Source organism: Homo sapiens, chromosome 16 (genome assembly GCF_000001405.40).
Source record: "Homo sapiens chromosome 16, GRCh38.p14 Primary Assembly".
Taxonomy (NCBI): Eukaryota; Metazoa; Chordata; class Mammalia; order Primates; family Hominidae; genus Homo; species Homo sapiens.
The window spans coordinates 47,511,443-47,524,017 of record NC_000016.10 but is presented as its reverse complement, the minus strand read 5'-3'; the positions used below and the strand labels follow the sequence as shown (position 1 = coordinate 47,524,017).

Below are 12,575 nucleotides of genomic sequence, written 5' to 3'. Positions count from 1 at the left end.
TTCTCCCCAACTCTGTAGTAGGTTTATATATCAACAGCCACAAAATCATAGTACACATGAAAAACCAGCAGACTAGCAACAACATGAAGGAGGAACAGAACAGCTTTAGAACTCCCCCAAATCACCATCTTAGTAAACTGTTACTATTTGAATGTCTGACAGCTCCTTGAACACAGGCATTAAGAGCTTTTCTTTAAATGACCTCAGAGCTCACATAGATGCAAATGGCCTTTTTTCTAGGCATATAAAGGAAATAATCAGTTGCAACCATTTAACACTGCAGCTGCCTAAAACAAATCTTCTTAAACCTGGGGGATGAAGTGTCCACGGGGGCCACTGAAAATCTCCAACATATTCCTGGAAAGTCAGAAAGCTATGCACACACATAGGTGTGGGCCTATAGTAAGTAAAGACCTGAGCTAATACTCCCACACCTCTGGCTGAACTGGATGCTCTACAAAAGCAGGAAGTGAAAGCTCAAGTAGAATTGGGCACTTCCTATGAGAGCTTTCAAGTTATGCCTAACACATACAGTGAGAAACTCTGCAAAGGCTAGGAGACTGATTCGTTCAAAGCATTTAAGTAAATTCCTGTTCAATCATTAACTGACCAGTAAGCTAACTCAGCAAAGACCTCAATGGCCACCTATGACAAAGAATACATAATTCACAGAAAATTTTCAGGAAAGATGCTAAACAAACAGGCAACTCCACAAATATAAACATCAACACCACCACACTTTGAAGTAGGGAGACCTGATTTCTGGAGTTAATATATTATTCTAAATGTCCAGTTTTAACAAAGAAAGATGAGACATGCAAAGAAACAAGAAATTGTGGTCTGTATATCTGAAAAATGAAATTAATAGACACTGTCCCTGATAAAGTCCAAACACTGGACTTACTAGACAAAGACTTTAAATCAAATATTCTAAATATGCTCAAAGGGCTGAAGGAAATCATGTACAAAGAACAAAAGGAACTCCTGAGAAAGATGTCACACCAAATAGACAAAATCAATAGAGACAGAAATTACTAAAAAAAAAAAAAAAAAAAATTGACTTGAAAAGGCAATAATGTGAATAACCATGTTCAATAATGTACAGAGATCATACCAAGGATGTTTTCCCACCATCATGGAATGAAATTATAAATCAGTAACAGAAAGAAATTTAAAAATTCACAAATATGTGAAAATTAAAAACTGTACTACTAAATAAACAATGGGTCAAAGAAAAACTCACGAGAGAAATCAAAAAACACATTGAGATGAATGAATAAAAAAACCACAGAATATCAAAACTAATGGCATGCAGATAAGTAGAGGGAAATTTATAATTGAAAATGCCTGTATTTTAAAAAGAAGAATGATCTCAAGTCAATAATTTAATCTTTTAGCACAAGAAACTAGAAAAAATAAGAGAAAAATGAACCTAAACCAACCAGAAGGAAAAAAATAATAAAGACTAAAAAAAAAATAAATAAAATGGAGAAGAGAAAAATAATTTTAAAAATAAAACCAAAAATTGATTTTTTGAAAAGGCTAACAAAAATCAATAAACCTTTAGCTAGGCTGACCAAGAAAAAAAGGGATAAGACTCAAACTATTAAAGGAAGGATGAAATAAGGGACATTAACATCAATCTTAGAGAAATAAAGAGGACTTAAATAGGATACTATGAACTAATATGTGCCAACAAATTAGATAATCTAGATTAAATAGACAAATTCCTGGAGAAACACAAACTACTAAAACTGACTGAAGAAGAAATAGAAAATCTGAAGAGAAATGGTAATCAAAAACATTTCCATAAAGAAAATCCCAGACCCAGCAAGCTTTACTGATAAAATCTATCAAACATTTAAAGAATTAATACCAATCCTTCAAAAAATAGAAGAGGAAACATTTCCTAACCCATCCTAGGAGTCCATTATTGGCCCTGGTACCAACACCAGACAAAGGTATCTCATCCACATATATAAACCAACAAAACACAGAATGGATATATACCAATATCCATTATGACTATTAATGTAAAAATACTCAACAAAGTATCAGCAAATGAATGCAGTGACATTTAAAAAGGATTATACATCATGACCAAGTAAGATTTATCCCAGATATTTTAGATGGGTTCAAAATAAGAAAATCAATCAATGAAGTAGTATATATTAATTAAATAAAAAACAAAGATCACATAATCATCTCAACAGATATAGAAAAAATATTAAAAATCTAACAACTTTCCATGATGAAAGCACTCAAGAAACGAGGAATAGAAGGAAACTTTCTCAATCTGATGAAGGGCATCTCCAAAAAAACCCACAGATAACATTTTTCTTTTCTTTCCTTTTTTTTTTTTGAGACGTAGTTTCGCTCTTGTTTCCCAGGCTGGAGGGCAATGGCACAATCTCAGCTTACCACAACCTCCGCCTCCCGGGTTCAAGCAATTCTCCTGTTTCAGCCTCTCCAGTAGCTGGGATTACAGGTGTACGCCACCAAGCCAAGCTAATTTTTGTATTTTTCAGTAGAGACAGGGTTTCATCACATTGGTCAGGCTGGTCTTGAACTCCTGACCTCATGTGATCCACCTGCCTCGGCTTCCCTAAGTGCTGGGATTACAGGGGTGAGCCACCGCACCCAGCCCACAGGTAACATTTAATGGTGAAAGATTAAAAGGTTTTGCCCTAAAATCAGGAACAAGACAAGGATGTCCACTCGCAGCCCTTATTTTCAAGATTGTATTGGAGCATCTATCCAGGGAAATTAGGTAAGAAAAAGATTTAAAAGCTATCCATATTGGATATGAAGAAGTAAACTATTACTATATGCAAATGACATAATATTCTACATAGAAAACCTAAAGAACTCATAAAAACGATTAAAGCTTAAACACGAGTTCAAGATTGCAGAACACAAGATCAATTTATAAAAATCAAATGAATTTCTATATGATAGCAATGAACATTCTGATAATAAAATTAAAAAGCTCCATTTAACCTAGTATACAGAATAAAATATGCAGGAAGAACTTAAAAGAATGAAAGAATAATGTATTAAAAACTACAAAACCACATTAGAAGAAATTTTAAAAGACCTATGACACCTAAAGCACAAGCAACAACAAAAAATTAGATAAATGAGACTTAATCAAAATTAATAAAAAGCTTTGAGCTTCAAATGATATTATCAAGAAAATGAAAACACAACACATTCTCTGTTTTCCCCACAATAATATGGACTGCATGATGTTACAGACTAAATTCTTTTTTCATTTTTATATTCTCACTGTTTGGCCCATTATGGAAACTCAATAAATGTTTATCAGATAGTTGTATAATCCATGCAAGGATGCATGACCAAATAGAAACAACTATACATGAATAAACCTGTAAGCCTTAGGTCTCTTTGGCTGCCTTTGAAGCTTGAATATGATGTTGCCACATGACATATATGTCACTCATATCTGTACAGGTTAAACAGAGATCTAACACTCACTGTCAGCATAGAAAATGAACTCTTGAGTCAGACTACTTGGTTTAAATCCAAGCCCTGCCACGTACTACATGTGCGACCTTGATAAGCCACTTAGTGGCTCTCTGCATTATTTTGGTCATTTGTAAAATGAAGATAGTAACTGTACCTACCTGACAGAGTTGCTGTAAGGATTAAATAAGTTTTTCTATATGCAAAGCACTTTGAACAGTGACAGCACATAAGTTCTATATAATGTTAGTCATTATTACTATTGCTACATATAATTTTAGAAACAAGGACAGTGTTATCTTTCTATTTTTAGAGGAAAAACCATCCATAAATAGTTTTGAACAACTTACTTATTTCTCTGTGTAAACTGATGACAAGCAGGAGCTAAGAATACCTTATAATGCCTCTAAGATTACTTATAGAAAAGATTTGTTCCAACTTTTGAGATAGAAACCCCTCAAGTTCAGCCTGATAACCATCTCATAGCAAAAGGTAGAATCTAGGACACAAAGCTTCCATACAACAAATAAAAGCCAGAAAAAAAATTTAATATTTTAAAGAGAAAACATGTACACAAAACATGTACACAAAAACATGTACACAACAACTTAGTAAATAGTAATAGAAAATAATAGAATAAAATACCTATCTTTAAAATAAAAGTCTTAGTGTACAAGGAAAAAAAATCCCACCTTAAAAAATCTCTCTAACGAAGTTCAACTAAAAACTACTGCTAAAAATAGCAGGCTGGCTCCTGATCATACGTAACTCCTAGTATCTAAGCCCTTGTGTAAATCCTGCCTACACTGAATAGGGATGACTTGTGTAATAAATAGGATACTGTATATAAATGTGACTTCTGAGGCTAGGTCATAAAAAGCACTGTATTTTTTTATCTCGTTTTCTTGGATCACTTGCTCTGGAGGAAACCATCTGCTATGTCATGAGGACACTCAAAGCAGCTCAGTTGGAAAGGTCTCTTGCTAATAACAGCTGGGGAGAAACTGAGGCTTCCTGCCAACAGCCATATGACTGAGCCATCTCAGAAGTGGGTCTTCCAGTCTCAGTAAACCCTTCAGATGAGTGCAGAGCCAGCTGACATCTTAAGTGCAGCTTCATGAGAGACCCCAAGCCAGCACCACCCAACTTAGCTGCTCCCATATTTCCTGACCCATGGGCTGTGAAATAATAAATGTTTAATCTTTTAAACTAAGTTCTGAGGTAGTTTGTTACATAGCAAAGATGACTAATACAATAAGAGAGAAATTCCATGTGTCATCCAATCTGAAACATGACATACTTGAAAAGAGCTGCTAGGTCATATGGTAGAAAACATCTTTGCAAAAAAAAGTAAATGACACTTGAGTTCATAAAGGGGACTTTCACAGGTCTTATGTTGAACAAGCACCTACAGTTTTGTGCACAATTTTTATTATAAGGCTTGCAACCTAAATGTGCTCTTAACAACTTCCATAAGAGACATAAAAAAGTATCTCAAACACAAAACAAAATTTCATTGTTATACAAATTTGAGGGGGTACTTTGACTTTAAATGAAGTAAGTTTCTCTGGACCCACTTCTAAATGATTTCTTTCTTATTTCTATGAATCTACTTTTAGAGTATATTTATTAATGGAGAATGTCATGAAACGAGACATGGAACGCCACGTAGCAGTTCATTACTTTGCCCCCCTCCAACAGATGTAAATAAGTTATCTCTATCAAAAGGATTGACTTAGGTAAATTTATATTTAGGTCTAAGTTTAACATATATGATGAGTTTCTCTCTAGATGAAGAAAGCAAACAGCAGTACAAGGGCAGAACTACAGAACTTTGTCTTTTTCAAAGTTTTTATTTTTAATAAAAAATGAGTATGACCAATATACACAGCAAGACTATTACAGACACTAGGAAATACTGATACCAAGGAAACATGGTACGCCTGTGTAGGCAACGAAAGATGTTAGAAAATTAGCATACATTACTGTGCCTGCCCTTAGAAAATACATTCTGCAGCAAAGTTCATCACCACAAACATGGCCACTCAGTAGGTTCACTGCCCCTTTGTAAAGGTGCACATGACCCTTAAGACCATGGCCCTCTCCCAAAGGAACTACAGTATAGATACAAATTTTATAAAAACAACAGAACCAGTAAAGGTATGATGAGCTGCAAAACAAAGGCTTATCAAAAACCCCAAAGTCCAGACAATGCAGTACCTATATTTCATTACATATGTATGTGTATGTGTGTGTGTGTGCACATATGTATATCTCCAAACTCTGAATTCTTCAATCCTAAGAAAAAGAAGCATTAGGGCAAATTTTAAATTTTATAGTAAATAGAGAAGGAAATAAACGGTAATCCCACTGACATCCTGGGTCCTTAGATTGTCTTAAAATGTGAGTATAACTAGGAACTGAAGATGTGGTAGGGTTATGAACTAGCCAAACCAGAGCCTAAGATACAGTTAAAAAAGAAAAGGCTTCCAAGTCATACCACTTTTCAAAGAATTGAATCCTCTGAGATCTTTAGATAAAAAGAATTTCATTAACTGATTCTATGCAGGTCCATTTACTGCCTCTCCATATGATCCAACACATTATACAGAATCTCAAGGAAAAAGATGGTGAGCGGAAATGACATGTTTTATTACTCTAGGATTTTTAAGTGTACATATTGAAGGCTATTGATAATTAGCTGCATAAAAACTTCACATATAGTAAATAAAAACCATAAGGCCAAGAAAAACCACAAATAAGAAATTTTTTTAAAAAAAGCAGTTTAAGAAGGTAAGGAACTATCCAAAAATTTTAAAGCTTACATAAGCCATATAAAACCAAATGGAATGGCTAAAGTGATATAATATTCATGAAAAATGGCAGTTGACAAATAAAAATACAAAATGAATTATGACATATATTGAGAAAGCAAAAAGTAAAATTTTTACAATTAAAAATAAATTACTAAACAAGGCCAGGTGCAGTGGCTCCCAGATGTAATCCCAGTACTTTAGGAGACTGAGGTGGGCTGATTGCTTGAGCCCAGGAGATCGAGAACAGCCTGGGCAACATGGTAAACCCATCTCTACAAAAAATACAAAAGAAATTAGCCGGGCATGGTGGTGTGCATCTGCAGTCCCAGCTACTGAGGAGGCTGAGGTGGGAGAATCACCTGAGCCCAGGAAGTTGAGGCTGCAATGAGCTGAAACGGTGTTACTGCACTCCAGCCTGGGCAGACAGAGTGATACACTGTCTCAAAAAAAAAAAAAAAAATTACTGAACAAAACAAAGCCACTTGTAAGCAATATTAGTTGCCACTAATTGTAAACGGTTATCATAAGATGTTCCACAGGGATCTAGGATATTTCTCCCAGTGCTTTGGAGATATTATGGGTGGAAAAATTGAGAAGCTAAGTGGGCTGGTTCTGGAAGGCCTCCTCTCCTCAGTCAGAGTCATGCTTCTTTTATTTGTTTTATATATTGGCATGCTCTTTAAGATTGATCTAAAACAGGAGTTTCCCAGCTCCTTTCCCTTATTTGTTTTATATTTTAGCATGCTCCTTAAAATTGGACTAAAACAGGAGTTTCCCAGCTCCTCCCTGATCCCAAATGCTTGAATAATCCCACTTCACAATATTATAAACACTAACAATTATTTGGATGAAATGAAACCATAGAATTCTTTGACAAATCAAATAGAAGAAACCATACTGGGTATTATTAATTTCTTACGACCATAATTTCTTCTTCATTATTTATCTTCACTTCTAAATAGAATTTATTTATTGTATGAGACTATAAACTCATACACTATAAGTGTGTATGAGAATATAAACTACTAGAGGGCAGGGCTACATGCACCTATTTTGTAGTACCCTCAGTACGGTCCAATGACAATTTTGGTGTTGAGTGTCTGATGTAATTGTTCTCCCTTGCATGGATCACAGGAGAGGAATAGTAACAAACATATATAGTACATCTACCCTTTCACAGAGTTCTCACTGCATGTACCAAACAATAAAAGCTTTTTTGCTCCCACTATGGCACATTTCAAAGTACATCAGCGCATGTGCTTGTGTGTTTGTTCAAGCATTAATGCCTGTGAAAGAAATGCTTCTCATCTTTGGGATATGAATTCTTTACAATTTTCCTAATAAGAATAAGAACATGGTATTTGTCTTTTGAAAAACATGAAGAATCCTACTGAGATCCTACAAATAAAAATAATATAACAGGATAAAAGTTTCTCTTTACTTTTCAAAGGGTGAGTTATGAAATGCAACGATGTAAAACAAAAGAAAGAGGCCGGGCACGGTGGCTCACTCCTGTAATCCCAGCACTTTGGGAGGCCGAGGTGGGCGGATCACAAGGTCAGGAGATCAAGACTGCCTTGGCCAACATGGTGAAACCCCGTCTCTACTAAAATACAAAAAATTAGCCAGGCGTAGTGGCACATGCCTATAATCCCAGATACTTTGGAGGCTGAGGCAGGGGAATCGCTTGAACCTGGGAGGCAGAGGTTGCAGTGAGCTGAGATCATACCACTGCACTCCAGCCCCGTGACAGAGCAAGACTCCATCTCAAAAAAAAAAAAAAAGACAATAATTGAGAAAATCTGCAAATGTTATTTTGCTTTCATTGTTACTAAAATTTTTTAAAAGTTACATGTTTTATTTTAGATCACCTGAAATAGAGTCTTCACGGGAGTAAAGTTTTACAACCTGTTACACATTGTGTTCATTTTAAAAGTGCAATGCATTGAAGATATAAAGACTTTTTCATTCAACAACCAACATCTACTATCTGATTATATAAATGTAACAGGAATACATTTTACATAAACTAAAAATAAGTTGTGAAAACTAAAAAAAAAAATAGATATTTTCAGAGGTGAAATTTAGTAATAGAAAATTTGGGGAAAGCATACCTCATCAGTGTTGTAGATAATCTGGAGTCCTGAGGAAATCATTTCCACAAGGTAAAGGAGATAAAGTGACACTGCATTTATCTGCAACAAACAGAAACATTAAAAGGTTAAAGGAAACAACCAAAACAAGTTATAAAATTAATCAATTAAGGCTAAAATTACAAGTCATTTGCTCTAATAGTGTCATAAAACTATTTCCTTTCCTACTGTGAATAAAGGTGTTGTGAATTTAGTTCATAATAAAAATCCCAGCTTTGTATGTAAAATTCTAAATTCTCAAATTCATTGTAATGGATAACACTGGATTAGGGAAACGGCTTCAAATAAAACTGTTAACAACTGTTTCTACATCATTTGGTTTCTTTACATGGCAAAAAGAACTTTGAAAAAAATAGGAACATATCATTTGTTTTTTAAGATTTATTTTCAAGCTTTGGGTCTAAAGTACTTCTACTCTACTTTGGAATAGTCTGGCCCCACAGGCAGTATGAAATGCCAATCCATCTCAAATACATGGAAATGAAAAAAGATATTTGGTAAGCAAGACACTATGATGATGCCAGTACCCCATAAACAATAGGCAGTGCATCTTGAAAACAGTCTCATATTCAACAAATACAGAATTTCTGTAAACAACTGCAGGAACATATTAATGTTAATGGTATAATATAATTTAAAACATGTTTATGAACAAATTAGTTTTATGAACAAAGGAGGTATTATTTTAGTGTATTAAAAATAGATATTTTATGATCTAAACAAAAAAATACTAATATCACTTTAACAAAAAAGGATACTCACAGAATCCTGAATGGGATGTGTGAATTGTCTCAGGTAAAGAAGCAGGAAAGGTACGTGCCACAACAGGCACAACCCTGTGTGGTTCATTTTAGGTGTCAATTTGACTGGATAAAGGGATACCTAGACAGCTGGCAAAGCATTATTTCTGGGTACATCTGTGAGGATGTTTCTGGAGGAAGCTGGCACGTGAGTTGGCTGTCTGAGTGGGGAAGACCTATTCTCAAGGTCGGCAGGTGCCACCCAATTGACTGGGGGCCACCCAGATGGAACAAAAAGGCAGAGGAAGGGTGAATTCTTGCTCTCATACACTCTTCTTCTCCTGCCTTTGGACATCAGAACTCCAGGTTATCCAGCTTTTGGTTCCAGGGCTTCCATCAGTGGCTCGCTGGGCTTTTGGGCCTTCATCCTCCAACAGAGAGTTACACCACTGGCTTGTATGGTTCTGAGGCTTTCAGATGTGGACTAAGCCACATTAGTGGCATCCTTGCTTTTGCAGCTTGCAGATGGCCTCTCATGGGACTTCTCAGCCTCCATAATTGTGTGGGTCAATTCCTCCAACCTCTCCTTCCCTCCCTCCCTCCCTCTGTCCCTCTCTCCTCTCCTCCACCTATTAGTTCTGTCCCTTTGGAGAATCCTGACCAATACATCTTGAAAACACAACGCTAAATTTAAAAAGCCAGTCACAAAAAGATCATTTATTGTATATGAAATGCCAAGAGTAGGCAAATCCACAGGGACAGAAAGACTGGTTGCTGCCTAGAGCTGGGGGGCTTTGGAGAATATAGGGAATACAAAGTTTCTTTTTGCAACCTAATGGGTACAATGTTTCTTTCTGGGGTGATGACAATGTTCTAAAATTTATAGTGATAATGGTTGAGAAACTCTGAATATACTAAAAACCATCAAACTATATACTTTAAATAGGTGAATTACATGTTACGTGAATTGTATCTCAATAAAACTGTTATTAAATAAGTAAATTTTTAAAAAGGCAGTGAAAAACTTTCAGCCAGGAAACTGTAAGCCTGAGTTAAAAACAAAGAGAAAGCAAGATGTAATTTTGTTTCCATAGAATTCTAACATAGATTATTTCCCTCTGACAGCTCCAGTGGCTATGTCTCCCATGACTCTCCTCCAGCCCAACTGAGTAATAGATGGGAAATTGGGGCAGAAAATTATTGGTGCCCTGGAGGCTTTGGGCAGAGGAGCCCAGGGCTTGGCACTGCTGGTGGCCCTCTGAGGAACCAGGCTGATTCTGGGTGTCTCCTGACTTCCTGGCAGTCAAGAGTCCATTGGATATCAGGGTCTTGTCAAGGTCCAAGTGGGCCACACAGGAAGATGCAGTAGTCTGCATCTTTTAGGTTTTTTAGACTTACACTAACATTTTAGTGACTCTTCTTAAAACATGGTTGCATGGTGAGAAGGGTTTCATCCCACTGCCAGGCTCCCCTATATGTTCTCTTACAGCATTGACACAAGCCTGTCAAAAATGACTTCAAAGAAATTTCACTCCTATGGGCAGCCTTTTACAGGGACCTCTAAGAGCTCTCTGCTCTGACTTGTGGGATGCTTCTGTAAGAAAATGTCAGTACATGGCAAGTTGTAAAGGGACTGCCACATAACAGGTTGACCAAAATTTATTTAAGGCCAACTATGTGCCAAGCACTGAGCTGAATCTGGGATACAAAGATAAATAAGCTATTATCTTCTGAAAACCCTACTTCTGATAGCAAACATATTTATCAAAGGAAAAGACACATAAAATCTGATTAAAGGTTAAGGTTGAGAAACTACATATTCATGTAACACTAACTCTCCAAGGAGCTGTTTACAAATAAGTACAAGAGTCTTTCCTGCATATAAATGAGAGCACCACACTTTCTGTGTTTAGAGAAGACATACTAAAGTAAGAAATTTCAGGTATCTAAAGTGAGAGGGACTATAAAAAGGAGATACTCTTTATTTAGTAAGGAATAGATGAATAGTTAAGTACTCTGTCCCAAAGACAGAGAACCAAATGATGAGCAGAAAATCAATTAAACATAAATAGAATATATTTGTATCCCAGAAACAACAGACTGTCCAGCTAAAAAACAATACACTGATGTGAGAGGGGAATAAAATGAAAAAAATATATCTAAAACCTCCAGTGTGTTCTAAGCATAGGTATAAAATTTAATATATTATATAAGACAAAATTTATGGACTTCAGAAATACCTTTTGGAATTACATTTCAGTGGCATGTTTTTAGCTTCACTGAAGGATGACACATTAAGAAATGAACTGCTGTGTAACAAAACTGATTTGCTATGACACCACTGTGAACTGTCTTTTTTCCCCTAGTTCCTAAATGTTGAAATTCTTCTAAATTTGATAACATGTAAAAACTTTTGTCACGGAAAGAACTGTAGTCTTCCTTCTTTTGCACATAAATAATTTTATAATCTATCCATTTACCCTTTTTGCTTGAAGACCAAGAATTCACTCGGATTTCATGTTCAATTGCCACAACTAACTCAGCCCTGGTGGCTGCCATTTCACTTTCTTCTCTGTTTCAGAGTTGATTCTATACTTCTATTTTGAACAATTTATAGAATGTAATTTGAAAATTATTTTTAAACAGCCTCAAATCTTCTATGACAGGGCTCCCCCACCCCTGGGCCACAGACTGCTATGGGTCCACATCCTGTTTGGAATGGGGCCGCACAGCAGGAGGTGAGCAGCAGTGAGCAAGCATTACCGCCTGAGCTCTGCCTCCTCTCAGATCAGCAGTGGCATTAGATTCTCAGAGGAGTGCAAACCCTATTGTGAGCTGCACATGCGAGGGATCCAGGTTGTGCTCTCCTTATGAGAATCTAATGCCTGATGATATGAGATGGAACGGTTTCATCCCAAAACCATCTAGCCCCTACCCCATCCGTGGAAAACTTGTTTTCCACAAAACTAGTCCCTGGTGCCAAAAAGGTTGGGGATCACTGTTCTATGCTATATAATATAAGGAGAATAAAATGTATAATCTCTTTTTACCTGAAGATGACCATATTCCTCATAGGAAAGCAACTCATCTCCTGTATGCACATTGAAAACAGAGTGAAGACATGTTGTTGGGCGTGGATCCTGCTTAAACTGCTGGACCTAGAATGAAATATAAAATTAAACAACATTAGTAATTCATAAACTTATCCAAGACTATAGATTAAAAGCTATTTTTCATGAAACTTTTTAATGAACAAAGCTAAGGCAGAGGACCGAACAAAGCAGAAACGTTACCTTTTCTCAAGAAAAAATACAAAAAGTTCATAACTACTAACTTGATAGAGTTAACATGATTCTCAATTGATATTTCACATGCACAGC

The 12,575-nt window shown here is 36.0% G+C and overlaps 1 protein-coding gene across 3 annotated transcripts in view; it reads right to left on the bottom strand.

Moving 5' to 3' along the window:
• PHKB (phosphorylase kinase regulatory subunit beta) overlaps nt 1-12,575 on the bottom strand; it is a 240,225-nt gene that overhangs the window by 177,506 nt on the left and 50,144 nt on the right. For all 3 annotated transcript variants that reach the window (NM_001363837.1, NM_001031835.3, NM_000293.3), the window contains 2 exons: nt 12,246-12,353; nt 8,417-8,497 (listed from right to left, as the gene is read on the bottom strand). In NM_001363837.1, coding sequence (NP_001350766.1) covers nt 8,417-8,497; nt 12,246-12,353 — 189 coding nt within the window. The remainder of the gene's footprint in view (nt 1-8,416; nt 8,498-12,245; nt 12,354-12,575) is intronic.